This window comes from Homo sapiens, chromosome 9, assembly GCF_000001405.40.
Source record: "Homo sapiens chromosome 9, GRCh38.p14 Primary Assembly".
Classification (NCBI taxonomy): domain Eukaryota; kingdom Metazoa; phylum Chordata; class Mammalia; order Primates; family Hominidae; genus Homo; species Homo sapiens.
This window is the reverse complement of record NC_000009.12, coordinates 81,363,268-81,390,317: the sequence shown is the minus strand read 5'-3', so window position 1 is coordinate 81,390,317 and position 27,050 is coordinate 81,363,268. Positions and strand designations below refer to the sequence as shown.

The 27,050-nt window shown below is 41.8% G+C and overlaps 2 annotated features.

Annotated features, from left to right (window-relative positions):
• Positions 361 to 934: an enhancer, noted in NCBI's record as "H3K27ac-H3K4me1 hESC enhancer chr9:84004299-84004872 (GRCh37/hg19 assembly coordinates)". NCBI's record gives its function as "activates a minimal SCP1, AML or CMV promoter by ChIP-STARR-seq in primed H9 embryonic stem cells {active_cell/tissue: H9 hESC(primed)}" and the evidence as "EXISTENCE:reporter gene assay evidence [ECO:0000049][PMID:30033119]".
• Positions 25,627 to 26,826: an enhancer, noted in NCBI's record as "MED14-independent group 3 enhancer chr9:83978407-83979606 (GRCh37/hg19 assembly coordinates)". NCBI's record gives its function as "activates an origin of replication core promoter dependent on BRD2, BRD4, P300/CBP and CDK7 cofactors, and independent of MED14, by STARR-seq in HCT116 cells {active_cell/tissue: HCT116}" and the evidence as "EXISTENCE:reporter gene assay evidence [ECO:0000049][PMID:35650434]".

The following is a 27,050-nucleotide window of genomic DNA, read 5'->3' as shown; positions in this document are numbered from 1 at the left end:
AACATACCTAGTCCACTTGCCTGAAGGGCATCTGAACGCTTTTCTTTTCTTATCTGAGTCCTAAACTCTTATCTAGGTCTCCCAGTTAGATTGATAGTACTGGCCATTCTCTCTTTCTAGTCTCTATGAGAACAGGTCCAGAACCATACATTCACACTATGGTATAAATGATTGAGGGCTTAAGGTGATAGCCATACCAGGGTATTCAAAATCTTCAGTAACATGGTTTTACAATTTCTGACATCAGTCCATTGTGATAGGGGAGAACTGGAGGGAGTGTGTGTCTGTAAATGTGTGTGCATATGCATGTGTTTGTGTTTGTGAGCTCTAGCCGAGAATTACCACCTATTATTGTGCAAGTCAAGCTTTTGTTGCCTTCCCCTCTTCCCTCTAGGGCTGGTGAGTAGGTCATTGCCTTGGTGTAAATTGAAGATCCTCCCAAAGCCCGAGCAACCATGATGTCTACTCTGAGGCCTGCCAAATGCCTGTGATTTCTTCCACGAAAATTAGTCATTTGGGTCATGAGGTAAAGAAATCCTCAAATTCCAAAGCTACGTAGTCATCCACCAGTCCTCATTGTCTAGTTATGTTTTCATTCTGTAACTATCTATTAAGTACATGCTGGGTCCTTGCCATGCTGGAGGCTACGGGACACAGAAGGGCCAGACAGAGCGTAACAATCCAGTCTAGTGAGTGGATGAGGAAGTGTATAATGTTCTGATGTGGATGGGATCATTGGTAGCAAAGGGCATTGTTCCAGACAATGGGAATGGGTGGGTAAGAGGAGATTGCTGGGAGCTGAATCTTGCTAAGAGTGACAGGAAGAATATACAGAAGAATGGAGAACTACAGACCATCTCAGCTTCCTTTACAGTTCTGTCCAGGTCTTCCCTTGTATGTCTGCCTTCTAGCCTCCCCTGTGCCTTCCATCTCTCCCCCTTTTCTCTATCTCTTCTTGGCATGACTGCTTCTCTTCCTCTCTCAGCCTGTTCCTTTAAACTCTCTTCCCCGTTGTGCTCCTGATCTCTAAACTTGCTGTTTCTAGGAGGATAAAAGGGAATGGAGCTGTAATGGGACATGTCTTTCATTTTCTCCATATGTCCTGACTTTGAAAGAAGAGAAGGAAATTTGACCTTAGATGGTAGGGTTTTTTGTTTGTTTGTTTTTCCTTTCAAGTGGTTCCAAAGTTTATTGAGGAGAGTGATCATGCACTGTGGTTGAAAATAAGTAGGTGCAGAAGGTTGGTGATGGAGGTGGAGTTTATAGCCTACCTTTCCCCAGGCTGGTTCTCCAGCAAAGAATCCTTAAAGAGCATCCCAAGGCCAAAGACAGGCAATTCACACGGTGAGGTTACAGTGAACATAATGTTTAAGTTGAAGTTTCAGGAGGGAAAAGTGAAAATTGCTTCACCTGCTTAAGGCTCTTGTCCTGTTACTGTACCTTTTGCATTTCAAACTGGCCTGCAAATGAATTCCCTACACTGTCACTTGTCTTCAGCTGGAGTGTGAGAGAGGCAATGTGTAGCTTGTGGTTGCCTAAATTAATCTCCATACTCATTTTGGATGAGAAAGAACACTAGGGATTGCTTCACTTTTGGGAAACAGGCACATCTTGGCTAGCATTCTCTAGCATAGGGCCCCAGAAAAACAGCTTCTAAACTAATGTCCACTGATGAAATGAGAGACTGGGCCACTTTATTTGATAAGCCATTCTTATTGTGAGCACGACAAAATATTTCCAAGCAAAGGAAAATTAAAAATGGGGAAAACAAACACAAAATGAAACATTATACAAAGCAATATAATGTCCATGTTAATTGTCCTTCACATGGAGATCTCAAACCTTTGTACCATTTTCTTAAAAAGGAGAGGAGGTCTTGATAAATGAAACAAAATTGGCGTACGCAAGTGCTTCGGTAAATACTATGCTCAGAAAAGGCACAAACTCTCAATGCATCATAAGGCTGTAGGGAATAGTCCAATAAAAGGAAAAAAAACCTGCTCAATGAAAACACTTTACAAGTGAATATATATTCACTCTAAAAGAGAGATTTTAAACAAACTTCAACAGAGACACCATTCAGGTGATAACAAGTGGTAGCAATGGTTATATGCATCTCTTCTTGCTCCCCAAAGTGAGCCAGAATTGGAGATGATAGTGCAATGCATGAAAAATTATATGCACTTTATTCTCATTACAATCAGTGTTTCTTATTCTGTAAACACATGGGCCTCTGATGTTCCCATCCAGGTGATTCATTTGAAGATTCATTCTCTCTCACTTCAAACATTTGGTCGCTCCATGAGAAGAATCACCATCGCCCTGCTCAACCCATTTAGCACCTCTAGAAGTCACTATACGGACTTAGTGATTAATGATAATTGATTTTTTCTCGCCAGCCTAATCGTCACACTTGACTGGGGCTGATGTACACCCAGCTGTGCTTAATTAGCCCAGAGGACTTAGAAACCATATTTTAAAGACAGGCTTGTAATGGAAGAAGCCTTCTCAACGATGCAGCCTGCTGTGGTGAACCCAGACATGTGGCACACGCTGTTTTTCATTAGGTCCAAGGAGCATGTCTGGGAAATGGATGTTGTATAAAACAGACATGTGTTGTCACATTAGACTTGGGAAAACTATTGTCTTCTAGAACATAGGTTATAAAACGTGACAGCTCTATATGAATTTCTTTCTCTGTGGCATGTTCTTGACTAATTACTTGTTTCAATATAGAAGGTAGGTGTGTTATATGACATCATTCTATATAGTATGTTTGCTTTTCTATTTTTGGTGAATTTAATCTTTCTAGCATCCATCTTAAAATGTGGACTTTTTATTATCCTTGAAAATGTTCCATATCTATAAGGATGTTTTCTTTTTTTCAGGATCCAAAATGAAGAACCAACCTTCCTTCCTTCCTTCCTTGCTCTCTCCCTCCTTCCCTCCCTTTCTTTCCCTCCCTGCCTCCCTCCCTGCATTCCTTCCTCTCTCTGTCCATCCCTTCTTCCATTAGACATATCTTCTTTATAGAAAATATAAGGAAATAATAAGAAAATTATTTCTGAACTCAGCCCATTCCCTATCAGCTGAGAGGCTTAATACTGACTTCTGTTGCATGAGTGTGTACCTGCTAGGCATAGTCCCTAAACCGTGACTTATTTCACACTCACAACAGAAAGTCATCCAAAAGTCATCATAGCTTCAGTTTTAGGTAGCATCTGGCTTGAGTCAAATTGGAACCAATGACATAGGAAAGCCATGACTTTTATTAGTACTTCTCTTAACCCAGAAGGCCTCAAGGAACTTTATAGGATAAGATGCTCAATGAGTTTTCAAGGAGTGTTTACAGATATACTTGTGGATATCTCTGGAAATGGTGGAAATATTCATATGGGGAAGTCATAAAGAGACAAAGAAAAAACTTTGTTGCAAGGTTTGGTGCCATGCTATTTAGCTGTTGACTAGGGAAATGTTTGATAAAGTTGGAGCAAAGAGAAGACTAGGCAGAGCATGGAGAGTGGGATTAGCAAGTGAGTTGAGTTTTAGAAGCCTAGAAGCCTTGAAACTGATCCTCAGAGAGGTGCCTATTTTCAGTGTGAAAGGCATTATCTTGGTGCCAAAAGGAGCATTGTATTTACATAGAATGCATTGTTTAGAACTCTTTGGCCTGCCAGTGACCAAAACTCAATTTAAACATTTCAAGCTAAAAGGGGAATTTGTTAACTCACATACCTTGGAAGAAAATAAGTGCAGCTCATAGGACTGAAATTATAGTATAGTTCCCAGGGCCTCAAGAACTGAAACCAAGCACTTGACATCAGGTGCCTTTCCATCTCTTGCCACTTACTTCATTCATTTGTTCATTCATTCATTCATCCATCCATCCATCCATCTATCTGTCCATCCATCCATCCATCCATCCAGCTGGCTAACCATCTCACATTTTTATCTTTGCTTGGCTTTGTCTGCAGACTGAATTTCTCCAAATGCCAGGATTTAGTAAATGCAGTCTCATCATGCATATGGCAATCCAATGGAGGGACACTGCCTAGCCCTGTTGGGTCATCTATCAGATCCTCCCTTAACCTAGCTAGGGAAAGAGGTATTATTTGGCTAGGTGTGGGTCATGTGCCTGTATCCGTGGGTGATGTTTTGAGGTGAAGACAAACTGGTTACATTAGCACAAGAAAGGGTAGAACAATTTGCTGAGCTCACAAATATAATGTTCACCCTAGTCCCTTATAAATGTCATTGTAATATTACCACTAACAGGCCTAGTAAACTTACTTTTTTCTGAATAACTGTTTATTATGTTCAAAGCATTTTCACTTACAATTAATTAAATTTTTGTTCTCCGTGGTCTTATACAGGGGACAGTTAAACACTTAGTCTCACTTTATTGATGAAAACATCCAGGTCTAGACTGAATAATAGTACACGTATAGAAGGGCATAAAAATAACTAACACACATACATTAAAAAAACAAGAACTAGAAGATCTAGAGATAGTTCACGTTCTTCTTCTTCTGTAGTAGGAACAGAACTATCTATACACAAGTGGCTTGCTGTTTATGGGCTTGCTTCCAGCCCAGTTGTGAAGTAACCTGAGGTCTTAGGCTTGGAAGGGGAGTATTCTCAATGTTTAGATCAAATAGTGTGTCTCAAGTTTATTTTGTGGCTTCAGGTTATCTACTTTTGCTATTCTTGAAGAGTTAAAAGTTTTCCTAGCATTAACTCATTGTAAGCAAGAAGACCTGGAGAAGGCAGTGATGCTACAAAAGGTGGTAACAGGCTTCAATTTCTATACATATATTTTTTTGAGATGGGGTCTTGCTCTGTTGCCCAGGCTGGAGTGCAGTGGTACCATCTCAGCTCGCTGTAACTCTGCCTCCCTGGTTCAAGCGATTCTCCTGACTCAGCCTTGTGAGTGGCTGGGATTACAGGTGCGTGCCACCACGCCTGGCTAATGTTTGTATTTTTAGTAGAGAAGGGGTTTCACCATGTTGGTCAGGCTGGTCTCGAACTCCTGACCTCATGCTCCACCTGCCTCAGCCTCCCAAAGTGCTGGGATTACAAGGGTGAGCCACCGTGCCTGACAGGCTTCAATTTCTATCCTCTGGGCATAATTCAGTTACTGGCGAGACAAGGCTTCAGGTCAAGCCTGCTAAGAACTGCAGGGAGTTGCTATGGGAACTGCTTGGTTATCTACTTTTCCTTGTTTCCTCCCTCTTTATCATTCTGAGCCTGAGCAGACAAATTTCTGTCTGACAGTATCTCATATACATATCTTGGATCCTGGGCATAGATAAAGTAATTCTCACTTTTTTTCCCTTTTCTCCCTTAATATCATCACTCATTTGAATGTAAATCTGAGTGAATTTAACTTCTTGTTGCAGTGGAAACCCACTCTTTGTGTGGTAATCTATATTTATAATGAATTATCGCTTGATTTCACTTAGAAGTCATTGTAGTATAACCCACTCCATGAGAATCTGCCAAAGTAGATGCTCTAATGTGGGCAAAGGCTCCCTGTGGTCATTTTTTCCTGTCTCTTAGCTCCTTTTCATCATCTTTATATAGTTACCTCTTTCCCCTTTGTGGTAATTTTGTGATCTGAATTTAATATGTCCTTCATTTAACACGGATTTAAGTGTTTTATAGAGGAATGCTTTAAGGTCTAAAGAAATAAATCTCTGAGAACAGAATAGTGAGGCATATTTCTTTTGGTGTTGAAATAACAATATGTTTGGCTGGGTGCAATGGCTCAAGCTTGTACTACCAGCACTTTGGGAGGCTGAGGCAGATGGATCACTTGAGGCCAGGAGTTAGAAGGAACTCTTCCAACTTTGGAAATTTTTTTTTGAAAGCACTAAGTATAGTCATTTAAATTGATAAGTACCCTACTGCCCTAAAATATTTGATGTGTCTTATTAAAGATAAATATTTTCAAGGCAGGAGGATCGCTTGAGCCCAGGAGTTTGAGCCAAGCTTGGGCAATATAGGGAGACCCCATCTCTACAAAAAATTAAAAAATTAGCCAGGCATGGTGGTACACACCTGTAGTCCTCACTACGGGGAAGACTGAGGTAAGAACATCTCTTAAGCCTTGGAGGTCAAGGCTACCATGAGCTGTGATCAAACCACTGCACTCCAGCCTGGGTGAGACTCTGTCTCAAAAAAAAAAAAAAAAAAAAAAAGAATATTTAAAAATCCCAAAAAAAAGATATCAACGGAGATATAAGTATATAACAAATCCAGGCTAGTATAATCAGTGTAATTAAGCATTGCATTTGATTTCAAGCTTCCTGATAACAAAAGCAAAAAAGGAAAACTCAATTCACTATTGAGTTTCTCCTTTGAAAAATAGTTAGCATAACATTTCCTCAGCCAGTCAATTTTTTCTATATTGCATATTTAAAAAATATTTTCAGGGATATATAAATTCAAATGCTGTTGTTCAGGATGTTTACTGCAGTGTTATTTATACCAGCAAAAATGTAACTAGAAAGTAAATATTGAACAGTAGTATAGTAATGTGGCATACTGCTATTACTTATGTGATATGTGTTCATAAAGCAAAGTATTATGATGGCATATAAAACCATGTTGAAAATGATTATTTTACATTCTGTGAATATGTTTATCATGGTACATATAGAATATATCTAAATATGTATATTCCATAACAAAATATCAACAGTATCTTTATTAGGATGATGGAATCATAGGCCACTTTTATTCACTTTTATTTGCTTTTTAAATTTTGCTTATTTGTATTTTCTCATAAAAACATGTATTGATTTTTGTGGGTTTTTTCCCAGTTTTAAAAGAATAATATCCTCCGTGGGCCTTTAATGCAAGAGACATTTGACAACCTAATATCGATGGCTTGAACAATGGCTTTACTAAAACACAAAAATATTCTTCATGAGACCCTTAAAATTTGATAGCATAACTTAGTGAAAGCATTTCTTTGCATTGTGAATCAAGGCAGTAGCAATCCAGTGAATACCAGGTAGATAACTTCAAGTGATTTAATATACGTGCTAACAAATTACAGCAGTGGTTCTTGAAATTCAGTGTCTACTTATATTACTTGGACATCTTGTTCAAACACAGATTCTGATTCAGTAGTGTGGGTGGGGCCTGAGCTTTCTCCATTTTTAGCAATGCTGCTAGTCCGTACATACAGTGCATAGTAAGTACTTAGAATGCCTAAGGAATCATATGTAAGTTACTAGTTCCAACCCAAGTGATATGGTTTGGCCATGTCTGTACCCAAATCTCATCTTGAATTGTATAATAGTTCTCATAATCCCCATGTGTTGTGGGAGGGACTGGTGGGAGGTAATTGAATCATGGGAGTAGTTACCTCCGTGCTGTTCTCATGATAGTGAGTGAGTTCTCACAAGATCTGATGGTTTTATAAGGGGCCTTTCCCTCTTTCTCTCAACACTTCCCTTGTGAAGAAGGATGTGTTTGCTTCCCCTTCTACCATGATTGTAAGTTTCCTGAGGCCTCCAAAGCCATGTTGAACTGTGAGTCAATTAAATCTTTCACTTATAAATTACCCAGTCCTGGATATGTCTTTATTAGCCACCTAAGAATGGACTAATACACCAAGTTTATCCATTAGAGTTAACTGTAGAACTTTAAAAAGTACAGATTCCAGGAGCCCACCTCAGATCTAGGGAATCACAATTTTTACAAAATTTCCCCAGTTATCTGGATAAAGCTTGTTCCTAGACAGGGTGTGTGCAAGATTCATCTCCTGAGACAGCCTTATCTGCCACTCATTTCAATGGCATTTTTGATAGGAGCAGCACAGAAGCCTCCCTGGGGTGTGGGCTGTTTTGCTCTGTGTAAGAATTAGCCCCATGCCTTAAATAGCAGGCATTTGGGTGATAAGCCTGTCCATGCCAAAGTAACTCAGAAACCAGGTTGGTGTTCCTACCAGATCTCTGTCCACTGCCACTGTGGGCCACAAATGTTTCTAGAAGCAGTATTAATTTTCCACAATTCACTGTAGATTTGCTCAAATAAATATATTACCAACTGCATATTATCTAACTCTGTCGATGAGTTTATCTAGTAACATAGTCAACAAACCTATCATTTAAATAGTCTTCATTTTTATAATTCTTTTCCTCCATATTTAACTTATGTAGAAAGCCACAGAGATGATACTGCAGTTGTCTATTCAAAGTAGACAGATTAATTATATTTGTATGAGGACCAGGTTGGACTCAGATTATGAAATATACTAAGCAAATACACACATGAACTCAATAAGTAAGGTTTTCATGGAAACTGAAAAAGGTATGAGTTGCCAAGGATGTCAGTGTCCTTCAGGATGTCTAGTGCATACAATAAGCAATGTGTGACAGCACGGAACACGTCAGTTTGTCCTCTGCTGAGGTCTGACCCAGCAACTAATATATGCTGACCTGCCACTCAGAGCTGTGCTCGTGCTACTGGTATAAATGTATGTATCTACATATGCTTGTATCTGAGGGCAGTAAAACCCTGGCTTTTGAGTTTTAATAAGGCATACCTAATTTCCACATAAAAATTGAAGGTTAATCATGCTAGCATGTGGTGGGCAATTTCCATCTCTTGTGCAAATTTGCTTTCCACAGACATTGCTTTCCAACAGGTTTATGAGAAGCCTACATAACTGTGTAGGATAGTTAATGAACAATTCACTGATTAATAGATGAACAGCACCTTTATAATGGGCAAAACCAGTGCCTCTTACCAGAGTATATTCTGACTATCAGATTTTATTTTCCTGTTACCAAAGTTAAACTTTGTCCTGCAAAGGAAATATGATCTGGCCCCCTGTGGTAATTTCTCTCTTTGGTGAATCAAACCTTGATTTCTCTGGGATGCTTTGTGTATTATAATTCCTATTATGATAACCTGCTGAGTTAGTGGGTTGTATAAATGCACAGGACAGCTGTCCAGGAATGATTACAAGATGAATAATTTTACCTCCTGGCAAAAGATAAGAGTTTGCTCCATTTTCCCTGTACTCCTTGCTTCTTTCTCCTTGGCTGCACTCTGGGAGGCTCCCTTTCTCCTTAGCCCCAGGCACAAGTAATTATTCACATCACTGTTAAAGAAGAACTATGAGCTAAGGTTCAAGGCTAAAATGATACTGATGAGCATCATTTAGCTTCTCTTTTGGAGTCCTTTCAAGTTTATTTTTCTGTTCACTGCAGCTGCCCAGCACATGTGGTTTCATCAGGCCACACAGCATTTCCTCCTCAGTGGAGACCACTTACAGTCAGACTGTAGGTCTTTGGGGTTTCCTCCCGCCCCAAACTCTGCTGCCCCGCCTTCCTTCTCTGTTCCATGTACTTCCTACTTCCTTGATTTTTCTCCTTGTTCCTCATTCCCAAGTTTCCAGTAGAGGCTGGAGTCTGGCTCCTCCACGGTCAAGTGGAGAATGTAATGGCTCACCTCCTGTTTGATTTCAGCCCTGGTCCCCGGAGGGACACAGCGTTATTGTTGTGGCCCAGCCTTGTAGCACCACAGGCTAATGGATCAATTCAGCCTTCAAAGCATCCTATGGCCTGTCGATATGAAATTCTAGCAATTACTGAAGTGGGAAGGCTGGGAAGTGGCTGAAAAACATTCCCTATTGATTGGCTCGTTGCTCTAGAGTATGATGAACTTGTTTAAGAAAAATTGATCCGACAAATTGATTTTTTTTTAATCAGAGAATCTCACGGATGCAATTTGAGTCACAATATTTCTTGCCTTGCAGAGTGTTTTTTATTTATTTATTTTTATTTTTTTATTTTCACAAGGAGGATCTGTGAGGCAAACCAGCCAATGAGAGATACTGAGAAGAGTTTTGACGCTTCCCAGCCTTTGGTTTGTCATTTTAGAAAATGTTTTTCTATTAAACTGGTTTTTACATCGAAGGTCTCCTCTCCTCTGTGTTTTATGCACTTCAACCCTCTCGTTAAACTTCTTCACTCTGTTCTCCCAGTCCCTTGTTCCCCTCTTCAGCTCTAAATTTGAGGCTGTCAGTTGGGGACCAGCCCTCTGAAAGAGTACAGGCTTTCTCATTTATTGCGTGGAGAATAGGTTCTGGGAAATCAGAATCTTAATTATGGCTGAAGGTAGGCCTGTCCCTTGACATCTCCGGGAACTATTTGGGCAGTAATGGTGACAGATTGCAGACCCCAGGGCCATTCGCTCTCTGAGCAGTGACACATCTGCCGCATATACTTGGACAACTGCTGTTTTGGGATTGAAGAAGTGCCAAAAATCCTTACCTACTTCTGAATACCTGCTCCACCCTCCCTTACACCTTGTATGGGGTGACCCTTTCCCTTCTCCCTAATCTGATCTGGTACTCACTTGTGGGCTAGATCAGTAGATTCCAAATATGGATAATCATCAGCATCACTTTAGGAGTTTCCAAAATACGGATTGTTGGGCCTCATTCCAGACCTATTGAGTCAGAATCAGGGAATGGAGCCTAGGAAATCATAATTTAAAAGCTCCCTAGTTGAGTCCAATGACCAGCCATATTTGGGAGCCACTGGATTAGATAACAAAATTGTGTGAGTGTGTGTGTGTGTGTGTGTGTTAAAGTTGGAGTTGGGTAGAAGGATGGAGGAGAAAATTTGCCCCAACATGCAAAGTGCAATTTATCCCTTTAGAATTCTTTATTAGCACCGTAGGGGAGGCGGGAAAGCTTATTCTCTACCCTCTTAGATTCTGTGGCTGGGAAATTAAACTGATGAAAGATAGATTAACAAGGGAATAGCAAGTTTGTTAACAATACAGTGGACATACCCCTGGGAGAAACTCAGTGATGAATAACTCAAAGGGGTGGTTAGAACTTGGAACTTATCTAGCATCCTAGCAAAGAACAATAAATTTGTAGAGAGGTGACAAGACAAAGGAAAAGAAATTTAGGCTTCTAGGAGTGGTAAACTGTGGGAAGGTAAATATATGTGAGAAAACTAATGGAAGATAAGAGCTATTTCAGTAAAGTTTCTCTTGGTGCCATCTCTGGTCTGAGAAGAGATTACAGTGATTTAGTCTTAAGCGTTGTCCTCCTCTTCCTGGTACAGGAGACAAAAACACCTTTACAAATGGAAATTTATATCTTTTAGGCAAATGGAAGGAGTACAGAGAGCCTTTCTGGCATCTGCTGTATCTCAATTGTCTCAGCTCAAAATAACCCTTCTGTCAGCGAGGCAGATTTTGGCCGGGTGTGGTGGCTCACACCTATAATCCCAGCACTTTAGGAGGCTGAAGCGAGTGGATCACCTGAGGTCAGGAGTTTGAGACCAGCCTGGCCAAAATGGAGAAACCCCATATCTACTAAAAAAAACACAACATATACAAACATTACTAGGGCGTGGTGGTGCGCACCTGTAATCCCGGCTACTCAGGAGGCTGAGGCAGGAGAATCACTTGAACTGGGAGGTGGAGGTTGCAGTGAGAGGAGATCGTGCCACTGCGCTTCAGCATGGGAGACAGAGCGAGACTCTTGTCTCAAAAAAAAAAAAAAAAAAAAAGAGGCATGTTTTGGGGTGTCATATTCTGATCCACTATAGTGCTTTGAACTTCGAATGTGCTTGTATGGAGAATCATGATGAGATGAAGCTGTTTGATACTTAAGTCTAATAAGAATAAAAAATAAGAAATAAAATAATAGAAATAATTTAATAGAATAAGAAATAAAGGACAGAGCAATTTCAAGAGAGGGACGTGCTGACAGTAGAGGCGAGCACAAGTAACACGTTTGGCACACTTCAGACCTGGGTTCAGGAGAAGCATTTCAGCCAGGGCTGCAAGCCTCTACCACAAATGAAAAAAAAGTACCTGTGCCCTAAAATTCTGATGGCTTACTCATACTAAAGCCCACACCCAGCTTCTTTGTTATATGTTAAAGAAATTGGTTTCCCTCCAGTCTAATGGATTGTGTAAAAGTGGAGAACCATATCTGGACCTTTGAACACAAGACTTCAGGAGCTGTGTCTATAACTTTGCCAAGCCTGGCAGAGAAAGTTCTAAAGTGCTTGAACCACAAGAGAAATGCTGGTTGCCTATGCCAGAATATATCCAGGAAATATGTTCCCAAATGAGTTTTCCCTCGATAATCTCAAAAACCTGCTTCCCAGGGTGAAATTTTTAAATAACTTTGCTGCTTGTTTGGTGAGCTTGAATAAGCTGAGAAATGGGGAAAAATAATCTTCTGCAAATCATCTAGATTGGAGATGATTCATGGACTTGGAAAATAGTCTAAATTTTAGTGCACTCAAGTACAACTTTTAACCACTGAATTCATCCCTGTTATTACCCTTTTCTCTGAGCTCCTGCAAAGCAGACTAGCTAGTTTGTCACAGGAGTGTTCAATCTTGACTGCGCTTTGTAATTATCTGGGGTACTTTATTAAGAACTCAGACCTGGGTCCATCCCTAGACCCTGACTTAATTAGTCTGGGGCTAAGTCTGGGCATTCCTGTAAAAGCTCCCTAGGTGATTCCAAATTGTGGCCAAATTTGAGAAGCCCTGGTGTATTTAGATTCAAAGGTAGCCCATTGGAATTTTGCTGAAGTTCGAAGCCTTCCTTTTAATTTTCTGCCTTTGCACTTCTGGACTTCTGAAGGAGACAATGCAGAGAAGAGAAGGGAGGCGTCTTCTGTTTGCCAAATTTGTGATGAAAACAAAGGCCTCCTGTTTCAAGTACTTCTCAGATAGCATGTGGGCTCTCTTCAATACACAGCTCTGCTTTCGCAAAATTGTTAATTACAGATCATAATAAGCTGTTAGGAGCAAAACACACACATAATTTGAAAGTGAAATGAGGCACAGTACATAGATAAAGCAATTGTTTGTTTAAGAGGTGATTAGCAGCAGCAAAACAAGCAAACTGATACTTGAACCTGAAAGAAATTACACCCATTTGGAATTGTTATACTCTTTGGTTATTTGTGTGTTGCAGCCCAATGCAAAGGGGAAAGGCGGCTGCTGTCAGTTTTCTTTTTTGTCTGTGTGTGGTGTGGGGAAGGTATAGTCTATGCCGTCTTAGAACTAAGATGATATTAAAAGAGTAGCCTGTCAGAAGGAATAAAGGAAGGGAAGCGTCTCTGTTTCTTGAAGGAGCACAACTGAGATTTAAATTGTTCTGAGCTATGATAAATTATAAGGCTTTAAAACCACTGTAATCACTGAATGAACAAAACAGTTTGCCTTGGGTAATTATGCCTTTTTGGTCTCCTTCACTTTCAAGTTATTTTCCCCTTGTAAATGTTACACTCTGGCACTGTGTGCTGTGTCAAAGAGTGTTAATTTCAGTGTGAAACGCTGGGGTTGTCTTTAAGAGTAAGTGAGCCTAGAAATACTTGCAGTTCAGACCAAGTTAGACAAAAACATCATTAACACTTGAGCATGACATTTGGTGACTAGAGTTTCTACATCACAGCTCAACCTGGGGTCAGGTGGGCTTGGGGCTTAATCCACTGATTCCCATGAGCTTTGGACTTGAGTTAGCTTTTAGGCTCTGCTGCAGACCTGGAAATTCCCAGGATGGAAAGTTCTTGTGGAATAGATGCCAGTTAGTTAACAAGGATACAATAAGGTTGAATAACCATGTTATTAGGGTAGATTGCAGCACTCAAGATGGGAGGTTTAATAAGCATCTGAGGTTAACAGTAAATCCTTAGCTTTTTGTTGCCTGACAATGCATTCAGGTTTTTCAGCCCACCACTCCCTCGAGTTGAGGAATGGCCTAATTCGTACTGCTCAGAGGCAGCACTATGAAGAGACCAGGTTCCAACCCAAGCACGCTATCTGATTCCCAGGTTGGCAGCAGAATGAAAGGCTGCTCTGAGTGGCCCATGTGGTATTGTTGTCTATGGAAAGTTCCAACATGAGTCTCTCTCTGGTGTCTTGAGTGAGAAGGTAGAGGCAACAGGTAATTTTGCTGCAACCATCCAAATTATCATGTTTCCTAGGCTGTCTGTGTTAATGTTCCATCCTGGTGAAAGGAAGAGCTTGTAACTGCCAGTTTCCTTGGAGATAAATTCACTGTGATTTGGTGCTTGGAGAAGGCAGGTTTATGACAAAAGCTAACGTGTACTGAGCACCGACTTTGTGCCAGGCATCATTTCTAGGCAGATCACAGTATGACCTCCTGTAACCCTGACACACAATCGAGGATGCAGGCTTTCACCTCTCCAGTTTTCAAAAGAGGAAAAGGAGACGGGGAGTGGCTGGCCAACTCGCACAAGGGCACAAATTATGGAGCTGGATTGAAACCAGGCAGTCTGACCCCAGAAAATGCATAATGAACTACTAGGTTGTGCTGCTTCAAAGACACAAAGCCTTGTCTCCCTCTCTCTCTCCCTCGCTCAGTGATTTCCAAACTCCCTGGGGCAGCATTCAGGCCTGGTTTATCCACCTGCACCACTCCAGCCTCCAGGCTCCTCACACCCCCAGGACTAGGAGCAGATAACCAAATGGCACTGCAGCAATCTCTCCTCTTGCCCCTCGGGAGAAGCTCCTGTCATTGGTTCAGAAAGTTGGTCTTTTCTGACCTTGTCCCTTTCTCTAGTTTGGTTTTGAGGAAGTTGGGATTTATGAACTTGTTCTGGAGCGGAGGACTTAAGGGAGAACCGAAGGGTGGTGTACATCGTAACTTCCTCAGATGATGTCATAATGCATCCTCTCCAAAGGACCACAGATAAGCCTCCTGCTAGTTGTAAACAATATACCAGACCGGAGGATTTTAAAATCGAAGTGAGATTGCAGCTGGGGCTGCAAACATTTAATCCAAAAGGCAGGGAGTCTAAATGAAGTCTGATAGAGTTGCATGGAAGCATTAGAGAGGCCAAGAATCCTATAAATGTAATTGGACTTTCGAATTCATTGAGGTGATAAGACTTGTCAGCCTGCATGTTTTATGCAGCCTAACTGGCCAGATCCAGGACTGCATGCATAATGGACTTCTGTGAGATTGATAAGTCTGGGCTGTTTCTTTTGATAAGTCTTGGACCTTCAGAGGTTTGCTGCATGATGCAGGCTGCTAAGTGTGTGCCACTCTCCTTGCTGCCTCCAGGTAGGGAGCTGGTCTTGCTCCTATTTGTACAATGGCCTGATTCACATGCAAGACCAGCCCCTGCTTTATTCCTTCTTTCAAGCCTCCTTCTGTGGCTTGTTTTGAATCCATTCCTGCCTCCTCCCACTTCTTCCTGTTACTAATGAGCCACTCTGGGTGAGAGACTCTGACATCTAAGGGCCTCTGGGAGCAGCAGAAAAAACTGTAGGCCTGTGCACAGAGGAGTCCCATGGTGCTGACCATTTATCTGGTGACCACGTGGGCCCAATAAACAAAGCAAATCTGTCCGGCTCTCTCACCCTCTGTGGCTTTTGGGCCTGTGCATGTGCATTTCCCAGGACAGTTGGAGGAGACACCAAAACTTGTCTTCATTACAGCTCTGACTCATAACCCAATTAATGGTGTCAAGAAGTGAAACATGGTCCCCAGGCCCACCTGCCTTTTGAAAGCAAGTCCCAGCCTTTTCAGAGCAATAATGAATGGTGCTCCAGAGAGGATGGCTCAGAATCTATTCTGCTAGCCAAAGCAAAGGGAGGTTTCAGAAAGGTGGTGCTCAGTGTCAGCTCTCAGTTTTGGGGTGTGGATGCACTTGGCCTCAAAACTGCTGAGTGGGAAGGTGGGAGGGGAAATGTCTGGTGCCTTCCCCTGATTTCTAACTGAGGTCACCTACCTCACCTGCTCTGGACTTCTCACGTTTAAGGCAGGCAGATTGTCACCTGCCTCCCTCTATCCACTCCTCCTCCGGTTTCTCTTCTCCTCCCACTCCTTTGGCCTCTGAGTTTCTGTAGGGAGAATCTCCCTCTTCACATTGACCAGACACGCTGCTCCGTTTATTCCCCTCTAGGGCCTGTACATGGGTTGATTAACATGTGCCTTTCCTTAAATCACCGCCATGGTTTGCAGGTGAAAGGCAAACACCATGAACCCATTTTCCAAGGTCCGTTATAGAGATTATTTTGTAAATTCACACATGCTAATATTCCACAGGGCATGTGCTAGCAAGGGCTCCCAGTGAGACTGGGACATACTGTTCCTTCAAACACCTGACTAAATGCACAGAATTTTAAACACAGTCTTACTGTGATTCAGTGGCAATGCTTCTTCTTTCTAAGAAGCCATTTACTTCTTTCCAGAAAAAAAAAATCAAACCTCTTTACTCTTCAAATGTAGAGCCCCTTTAATATCACTAATGAGAGCTACCATTTATTGAGCACAGAGTGTCAGACGCGGCACAGAGAGCTCTGTTGATATTGTCCCTAATCTCCACAGCAGCCCTTCCAACAGGGAATTGTATCCTCATCTTCCAAGTGAGCACTGTTTTTCGTTTTTGAAGGAAGACAGGGTAGGAGAGGATCGTGGTGCTTCACCTCGGAAGGGAGCCAGGAGCTCCAGGGTCCTGCAGTTAATACCCATCTCTTCTTATTCCTTTCTCACCTCCTGCAGGTTGCCTTGAGATTTTTAATCCCCTGGGTGATCTGAATCTTCATTTTATGTCTCCAGAAAAGAAGCCAGGATCTCCAGGAAGGTGGATCTCCCAGAGAGAGATTCAGGTGGAAGAGACAGATCCCTGTGGCACCACCCTAGACACCAAGTTTCGCTCAGTGGCCTGTCCCCTGGTGCGGACTGAAACCAGCATTGCCTGGTTTATGTGCTCCTGACAAGATGACAGCCTGTGGTGACAAGGGAGGCAGTTGGATACATGGCCCCCGCCTTTCCCCAGGGACCTCTTTCTTCTGTTGGAGCCAAATGCTGCTCAGTTGAGAGCTCAGGGAACAAAATAGTCTTTGTTGCTTAAACTGAAATCTTCCCATGGCTGACTGTCCCAGGGGTCTTGTTGTTAACAATACTCTCTCCTCATTCCTCCTCTTCTTCCTCCTCTTCCTCCTCCTCCTCCTCGTCCCCCTCCCCAATCTCTCTCCCTGCTGCCTCCCCCTACCTGCTCTTCCTCCTCTTCTCCCACTCCCTTGCCCTCTGTGATTCTTAATCATTATACTTCTGAAACATGACAAACCTAACAGAATCTTGCCAGAGCGAGAGGCCCTAGGGAATTAGTCGAGAAACTACAACAAGAGCCAAATCCATTTGGGTAGGTTTGGGTTTCATGGGAACAGTTTGGTGCAGTGAGAAGGCAGGAGGAGGAGAGAGAGTTGGAGGCTGCCCAGCTGATTGTCTCCTGGGATGGGTGCCCAGCGGGTAGGGCTGTAAACCGGCCTAGTGACTGTTAACCTATTTTAGATCACAGATGTCTCTGAGAATTTGAGGAGCACGTATCAGCACAAGATTTGGGCTTGTGGTCAGGTTTCTGTGAGTGCTCAGTCCAAGGGCCAATGCTCTGCATACTTCCCACTTCTTCCCACTGGCTTCGTCTGTCTTAGCTGTAAGCCCAGTAAACACACATCCTTAGGAGATGTGATCACGTCATCAATTATCTTCCCTGGAACACTTTTGAGAGTGACAGAGTCACTATTATTAACTACACTCGGATGACTTAATGTCAACCAAGACAGTCTCAGGCGAACTGGGAAATAGTGTTTCCTAGCTCTGGTCATGGGGTTTGGTGGTAAGACCCAAGACTAGGAAGTGGATTCTACTATGAACTGCTTAGACTCTCAGGGAGACCCTCAGCTTATCCAGCTGTAAAAATCAAAGAATCAAACGGAGTCTTCATTGTTTCTTTGGGTGCTGGTGTTTTTAATCCTTCTTTTGTTTATATGCATGAGAGAAAAAGTATATTGGGTGACATATTTTGCCTCCTACTGGTTGGTTGAATCAATGTTTTCACTTGAATGTCTGAACAAAAAAGTGCTTGAACGGGTGAGAATAATATAGTGCAGAGAACCTGGGACTTCCGTTTTCTGAAAGAATAGGGTAATTCTTTTGTAAAATGTTTTCTCCTTGCTCTAAGTAACTGACCACGGTGTTGAATACTGATTATTCAGGAGCACCCACTGTTACTCAGGGCTTTAGCAGGAGCATCTGAGGGGTTTAGCATTCCCTGTCTCCAGGGCCTCGTCTCTCAATTATAAGGAAAAAACAAGCCTGTGTTTAAAGATACAGCAGCTGGTAAGGTACTGAAATCTCAGAGCTCCTCGGGGCCCTGGGTGTAGGGTAATTTGGGAAATTCTGGCATCAGGATTTCCCTAGTCACCTTATGCACCATGAACAAGCAGGAACTACAAACACGAAAGTCTGCCAAGGACTCACGTCAGGTGAAAATGACCCGGAGGCACCGGATCAGGAGGCAGGCTTGTTCACAGTCCTTCTTGGTCAGCCGTTGATTTCCAGAATGTCCACAGGCAGGTAGTTTCTTTTCATTTCTTTCAAAGGTTTCATTTTCTCCTGCTGTTCACACTGCATGAGAATTGGGAGCAGGACATTGTAAATACTTTAGCCACCCTGCATTTTGAAGTTAAAGGGCACGCTGTGAAGCAGGCCATGGGGTGGAGAGAAAGCAGTGGGCCAGAAGTTGGCAGCACGTTGATTCTCATCCCTGATCCCCACTCTGTATGTATGAATTTGCCCCATCTTTATGCTTTGGAAGCCTCTGTTTTATCATCAGAGGGAATTTTTTTTTCTTCTTTTTTTAAGTAGTGGAGTCTTTCAAATACGGGGGAAATCTTATATACACTTCCTCAAATATTAAAAAATATGTATTTGCATTTTTATATGTATATATGTATAAAAAGTGCAGCTATTTTGATTGAACTAAGGTTTAGGACCAGACTGTCACCAGCTCAGGCTATCTGTCCTGAGCGCCCTGAGGCACTTCCTCTGTTGGGCCTCCACTAGCCTGGAAGTTTGGGTGAATTTTTTAAAAAGCGTCATGCCCTAGTCTGATGCAGCCCCCGCACCAGGCCCTATATGGGAGCAAGGTGAGCAAGGGCTCAGGGGAAGCCACTCCCCTCCCCTTGGTCTGCTACAAATTGCCCAGGTCCTGCCCTCAGACTCCTAGCAGTTGAAAATTGTTGAACTTGGTTGCTCCAACGAGCTTCTTCCAGATCTTCAGTGTAATAGACACAGCCAATCTGGATTGAGGACTGGAGTCTACACCGCCGTGAACCACTGGAGTTGTCAGATGAAGGTAAAGACTAGAGGAGAAGCACTTGGCAATCAAGAAGCCTGGCTCAGAGTCCATGCCATATCCCCCAGACACCCACCCTGCCTCACAGCCAGAATCCTGGCTCACTGGTTGTAGTACTTTCTGCTCCCTGGACAATTCTGGTGCTCAATTTTATTGTTTACCAAGCCTGTTATTTGGGTCTGTGAAATACGATTCTTGAAGGCTACAGTGAAGCGACTGGCGCTTGGGGACCAGGCACCTTGGGTTGTAAATCAATCTTCTCCCTACAGAAACTCCAGCCGTTAAACATTACAAGGTGAAGAGTAGCCCCCTTGTGGGACACCCTGCAGCGATTGCCATGTTAGCTGAAAAGATTATGTTTCTGGAAATGCTCTAATGGAAGATACAGAATCCTCTCTTGGGATTATATTTTCACGCGTGGGAGTATCTGTTAACAGGGGATGAGTAGAGCTAGGCACTGAATGATTTGTAGAGAACTTCCTCTCTCTTTCTTTCTTTTGTATAAAAAGGAGACAGATGCTTAGACAAAATGTATTTCTTGACAATTCTGTTCAATATTTCACAAAAGCAAACAACCATAATCCTACCCATCAGAAAATAGTGGATTCTTTGTAACCTTTTGAATCTCCTCAGGTCCTAGCACGTTGAATATTTATTTCTCCTAAAATTTTATTTTCTTTGATTATTTCTAAACAATTAGCTAAATCCTTTTCTATACATTGGAATTATACTTGGAAAGAGTCATTGAATGACGTTGGTTAATGAGCTGATGTGGCCACCAACTGTCCTATGATAATATCTGAGAAAATCCAGATTCCAAATGGGCCAGTTAAACTAGTTTTTCAGTTTGAGAACATGAAGAAGTTCTGGTAGACGGTGGTGATAGTTGCACAACGAGGTGAATGTGCTTAAGGCCACTGAATTGTATACTTAAAAATGCTTCAAGTGGTAAATTTTATGTTATGTATATTTTACAATTAAAAATAAAAAATCAAATTTTAGGTCTGAGTTTTTATTTTTAGACTTTGCTCAACCCAAACCAAAGGTAGTTTTATTTTGTTTTATTTTGTTTTGTTCATGACCCATGAGGATGTGGTGTATTTCATAACTCCCAGGATTCTTCTCCTTGCTTGTGAGTTTTAAGTTCTCAAATATTAATTCCCATTTCTCTGTCGCATGATTCCTGCCTAGCCATTTCAAATACTGAGGAACAAAATAAAAAGCAGGCAGTGTGTTCCTTGCAGAACTCCTCATATAAACTAATGATGTGGGAGTCCTGCAAAAATTTCAGAATCTGTGTTTACTTGGGACAAATATTTTAAAAATTTATTTGGACAAAATTTGGAATGGTGGGAACTCCGAAAATATTTTTTCCACAAACTGACCAATTCATGCTTTACCTGCTTTCTTACCTCTAAGTTCTTTATTCAAAAAATACGCTTATTATGTGCCTACAATTTTCAAGGTCTCACATGAAATGCTTTGAGAAATATGAGACTGATCTATCCTCAAGACAGAACTGGAGATGTGTATATAACTAAAACAAAAGAAAGGACCAATACCCTGAATAGACTCTTTCCATCATTCATTCAACAATTGCTTATTGATCCCCCAACAAGTGCCAGACACTTTTGGTATTATGGGAATTCAGAGATGCAGAAATGCCTTCCAGCACAGAACAGCAGGGAGCTCTGTGGAAGAACTGACATTTCCAGAAGCTGGTTACGGAAGGATATGTAACATTTGAAGGGCATTCTACAAAGTGAGAATAGAATAAGCAAAGGTAAAGAAATGGGGAACAAAGGGAATGTCTGGAGAGGAACAGGCAAGATTACATGGGTCAGCAAACTTTTTCTTTAAAGGGTCAGGTAGCAAATATAGTGGCTTTGCAGGCCAGATGGTCTTTGTTGCATACTCAACTCTGTTGTAGTGTGAAAGCAGCCATAGATAATACCTAAATGAATGGGTGTGGCTGTGGTTCCAATAAAACTTTATTAAAGCTCTTTGAAGCTCATTTGGCCACTGGCTGTTGTTTACTGACTTCTAGGCTAGATCCCACGATGGGTGAAGGGACATAGTGGGGATGTAGAAGTAGACCTCCATCGGATTAGGGTGGTGCTTGCATTTCAGGCTAAAGATATATATATTTTTTCAATGTAGCAATGAGAAGGTACATGCTTTTGAATGAAAAGAATGTTCTGATTAGAGCCTTTCCTAAATAATATCTTTCTCAAAGGAGTTCCCATATCTTTATCTCTTTCAGAAGCACTTCTGGAGATTTTTCCTGTATAGTATTATTTATTCACTCTCACATCCATACATTCTTAGGACTTTAGAAGTAGCTACACCAAACCTTATAAATCATCTGGTCTTACCCACCAAACAAGGAAAAGAGAGCTGACAATATGCTTCTTCCAATTTTTTTTTTTCCTTTTCATTCTTTTTATTTTGAGACAGGGTCTCACTCTGTCACCCAGGCTGGAGAGCAGTGGCTGATCTCGGCTCACTACAACTTCAACCTTCCAGGCTCAAGTGATCCTTCCACCTCAGCCTCCCGAGTAGCTGGGACTACAGGTGTGCACCAGCATGCCTGGCTAATTTTTGTATTTTTAGTCGAGATGAAATTTTGCCATGTTGTCTAGGCTGGTCTTGAACTCCTGGGCTCAAGCAATCTGCCTGCCTAGGCCTTGCAAAGTGCTGAGATTACAGGCTTGAGCCACCACACCTGGCTTCCAATTTTCTATTGTAGGAAGATTGCAATGAGTGAGACAGAATGAGAATTAGCCAAGAACCCTGCATATGCATATATATTCTACTATAGTTCCTTGAGTGAGGCCCAGATTTTTGCAGGATCTCCATGGCCTTAGAGATTAGAGGAATACCTTCCTTTCCTCCCCTCCCCTTCCCTCCCCTTTCCTCTTCTCTCCTCTCCTTTTCTTTCTGTCTCGCTCTGTTGCCCAGGCTGGAGTGCACTGGCACAACCTGGCTCACTGCAACCTCATCCTCCCGGGTTCAAGCAATTCTCTTCCTTAGCCTCCCGAGTAGCTGAGATTATGGGCATGTGCCACCATGCCTGGCTAATTTTGTATTTTTAGTAGAGATGGGGTTTCACCATATTGGCCAGGCTGGTCTCAAACTCCTGACCTCGTGATCCACCTGCCTCGGCCTCCTGAAGTGCTGGGATTACAGGTGTGAGCCATTTTTTAACTTTTATTTTAGATTCACAGGTACATGTGCAGGTTTGTTTCATAGTTAAAACTCATGTTATGGGGATTTGTTGTGCAGATTATTTCTTCACCCAGTTTACTAAGCTTAGTACCCAAAAGTTATTTTATTTGATCTGTCTCCTTTCACCCTCTGTCCTCAAGAAGGCCCCAGTGTCAGTTTTTCCCCTCTTTGTGACCATGAGTTCTCATCATTTAGCTCTCACTTACAAGTGAGAACATTCGGAATTTGGATTCTCTTCCTGCATTAGTTTGCTAAGGATAATAGCCTTCAGCTCCATCCATGTTCCCATAAAAGACATGAATTTGTTCTTTTTTATGGTTGCATAGTATTCCATGGTGTATATGTACCACATTTTCTTTATCCAATCTGTCATTGATTCCGTGTCTTTGCTATTGTGAATTATGCTGCAAAGAACATTTGCCTGTATGTGTCTTCGTTTTTAATTTTAAAATTTCCATATGTTATTGGGAAACAGGTGGTATTTGGTTACATGAGTAAGTTCTTCAGTGGTGATTTATGAGATTTTGGTGCACTCATCACCCAAGTAGTATACACTGCACCATATTTGTAGTCTTTTATCCCTCAACTCCTTCCCACCCTTTCCCCCTGAGTCCCCAAAGTCCAATGTGTCATTCTTATCCCTTTATTTTCCTGCATGTGTCTTTATGGTAGAACGATTTATATTCTTTTGGGTATATACCCAGTAATGGGATTGCTGCATCAAATGGTAGTTCTGTTTTTAGCTCTTTGAGAAATCGCCACACTGCTTTTCACAATCGTTGAACTAATTTACATTCCCACCAACAGTGTATGAGCATTCCCTTTTCTCTGCAACCTCATTAGCATCTGTTCTTTTTTTTTTTTTTTTTTTTGAGATGGAATCTCACTCACTCTGTCACCCAGGTTGGAGTCAGTGGCACGATCTCAGCTCACTGCAACCTCTGCCTCCTGGGTTCAGGCGATTCTCCTCTTTCAGTCTCCTGAGTAGCTGGGATCACAGGTGTGCGCTACCATATCCGGCTAATTTTTTTTTTCTTGTAATTTTAGTAGAAATGGGGTTTCACCATGTTGGCTAGGAGGTCTTGAACTCTTGACTTCAAGTGATCTGCCTACAGCGATCCCCCAAAGTGCTGGGATTACAGGCATGAGCCACTGTGCCTGCCCTTTGCCCACTTTTTAATGGGGTTGTTTTTTCTTGTAAATTTGTTCAAGTTCCTTATAGATGCTGGATTTTAAACCTTTGTTAGATGCAAAGTTAGCAAATATTTTCTCCCATTCTCTAGGTTGTGTGTTTATTAAGTTTAATTGGATCTCATCTGTCAATTTTTGCTTTTGTTGCAATTGCTTTTGGTGTCTTTGTCATAAAATCTTTGTTTGTTCCTATGTCCAGAATGGTATTGCCTAGGTTGTCTTCCAGAGTTTTTATAGTTTTGGGTTTTACATTTTAGTCTTTAATCTGTCTTGAGTTGAGTTTTCTCTGCAACCTAGCCAGTGTAAGAAAGGGGACCAGTTTCAATTTTCTGCATATGTCTAGCCAGTTATCCCAGCACCATTTATTGAATAGAGAGACCTTTCTCTATTGCTTGTTTTTGTCTACTTTGTCAAAGATCAGATGATTGTAGGTGTGCAGCTTATTTTTAAGTTCCTTCTTCTGTTCCACTGGTCTACGTGTCTGTTTTTTTTTTTTTTTTTTTTGTCAGTACCATACTGTTTTGGTTACTGTATCCCTGCATTATAGTTTGAAGGTTGGTAGTGTGATGCCTTCAGCTTTGTTCTTTTGTTTATGATTGCCTTGGGTATTCAGGCTCTTTTTTTGTTCCATATTAATTTATAAATAGTTTTTTTCTAGTTCTGTGAAGAACGTTATTGGTAGTTTAATAGGAATAGCATTGAATCTATACATAGCTTTGGGCAGCATGGCCATTTTAAAGATATTGATTCTTCCTATCCATGAGCATAGAATATTTTTCCATTTGCTTGTGTCATCTCTGATTTCTTTCAGCATTGGTTTGTAATTCACATTGTAGAGATCTTTTACCTCCCTGGTTAGCTGTATTCCCAGGTATTTTATTCTTTTTGTGGCAATTGTGAATGGGATTGCATTTCTGATTTAGCTCAGCTATATCAGAATATATAACAATAGCTTGGCTATTGTTGATGTAGAGGAATGCTAGTGATTTTTGTACATTGACTTGGTATCCTGTAACTTTGTTGAAGTTGTTTATCACCTGAAGGAGCTTTTGGGCCAAGACTATGGGGTTTTCTAGATATAGAATCATGTAATCTGCAAACAGAGGTAGTTTGACTTCCTCCCTTCCTATTGGGATGCCCTTTATTTCTCTCTTTTGCCTGATTGCTCTCGCTAGGACTTCCAATACTATGTTAAATAGGAGTGGTGAGAGAGGGCATCCTTGTCTTGTGCCTGTTTACAATGGGGATGCTTCCAACATTTTCCCATTCAGTATGATATTGGCTATGAATTTGTTATAGATGGCTTTTATTATTTTGAGGTATGTTTCTTCAATGCCCAGTTTACTGAGAGTTTTTAACATAAAGGGATGTTGAATTTTATTGAAAGTCTTTTCTGCATCTATTGACATAATCATGTGGTTTTTGTTTTTAGTTCTGTTTATGTGATGAATCACATTTATTGATTTGCATATGTTGAACCAACCTTGCATTCTGGGGATGAAGCCTACTTGATTATCACACATTAGCTTTTTGATGTGCTGCTGGATTTGGTTTGCAAGTATTTTGTTGAGAATTTTTGCATTAATGCACATCAATGATGTTAGCATGAAGTTTTCTTTTTGTGTTGTGTCTCTGCCAGGTTTTGGTATCCGGGTGATGCTGGCCTCATAGAATGAGTTGGGGAGGAATCTCTCTTCCTCAGTTTTTTTGTGGTAGTTTCCATAGAAAGGGTACCAGATTTTCTTTGTACATCTGCTAGAATTTGGCTAAGAATCTCTCTGGTCCTGGGCTCCTTTTGGGTCTTGGTTTGGATTCATTGCTGGTGAGATAATATGATTTTTGGAGGATGTTAAAGAGCCTTATTTTGTCATATTACCAGAATTGTTTTTCTGGTTCCTTCTCATTGGGGTAGACTATGTCCAAGGGAACATCTGGGATTCAAGGGCTGTTGTTCAGATTCTTTTGTCCCATAGGGTGTTTTCTTGATGTGGTTTCTTCCCATTCCTCTAGGAATGAGGCTTCCTGAGAGCCAAACTGTTCTGATTGTTTTTGCATTTCTGGGTCTAGCCACCCAGCAGAGATACTGGGCTCTGGGCCGGTACTGGTGAGTGTCTGCAAAGAGCACTGTGATGTGATCTTTAGGTCTTGCAGCTGTGAATACCAGCACCTGCTCCAGTGGAGTTAGCAGGGGAGTGAAGTGCATTCTGTGGGGTCTTTGGTTGTGTTTTTATTTAGTGTGCTAGTTTTGTGTTAGTTGGCCTCCAGCCAGGAGGTGGCACTTTCAAGACCACATTAGCTGTGGTCCTGTAGGGAGGATGCAAACTTGCCCTAGAGACAACTGGTTAAGTATTCAGGTTTCTTAGGTGGTGCACAGGGCCATAGACCTCCCAATAAATTATGACCTTTGTCTTTGGCTACCAGGGTGGGTAGAGAAAGACCATCAAGTGGTGGCAGGTTTAGGCATGTCTAAGCTCAGCCTCTCTTTGGGTGGGGCTTGCTGCAGCTGCTGTGGGGGTAGGGGTATAATTCTCAGTCCAATGAAGTTATGTTCTGCTGAGTCATACAGGCCGCCAGGGAAGTGGGGGAAAGCTGGCAGTCACAGGCCTCACCCTGCTCCCACATAGCCCACAGTCCTAAAGGCTGGCCTCGCTCCCACCATGCCCCTGCCAAACCCCCAGTAGCACCGAGTCCATTTCCAGGGCTGAGAATTTGCCCCAGACCACGAGCCTCCCCATTAAGAAAGCAAGCTGACTCACCGTTTTTTGGCATCTCGGGGAGCCTGCAGGGGTGATCCAGTTCCTTCAAAGGGTCTGTGGATCTTCTCGGCTTTCCTGGTATGTTCCTGTGGTAGTTCTTTGAGCAAAAGTTCATGATGTGAGTCTCCACACGCTGCTCTGTCCTTCCAAGCAGGAGCTGCAACCTAATCCTGCCTCTCATCCACCATCTTCCCAAGATCTTGTTGATCTTTTGAATGGTTTTTCATGTCTCAATTTTCTTCAGTTCAGCTCTGATTTTGATTTTTTCTTGTCTTCTGCTAGGTTTGGTGTTGGTTTGCTCTTGCTTTTCTAATTCTTTCAGTTAATACCTTGCTTTTCAACCTCAATCTCATGCTTTTGGCTTGCCGTGTCCTGAATTTCCAATTTTATTAAGCTTTTCCAGGCCTCATCTTTCTTGGCATATGCAATATTTAACACCACTTACTCCTTCCTTTTGGTTGTTTCCCTGCTCTGATTTCTATGATAACATTTTTTCTTGGCTTTTCTTTTCTTCTTTTTTTTTAGTGATGGGGGTCTTGCTATGTTGCCAAGGCTGCAGCAGTGGCTATTTACAGGAACAATCATAGTGCACTACAGCCTCAAATTCCTGGACTCATGTGATCCTTTGGCCATAGCCTACCAAGTAGCTGGAACTATGGGTGTGCACTAGGCATGCACCACTACACCTGGCTGGCTTTTCT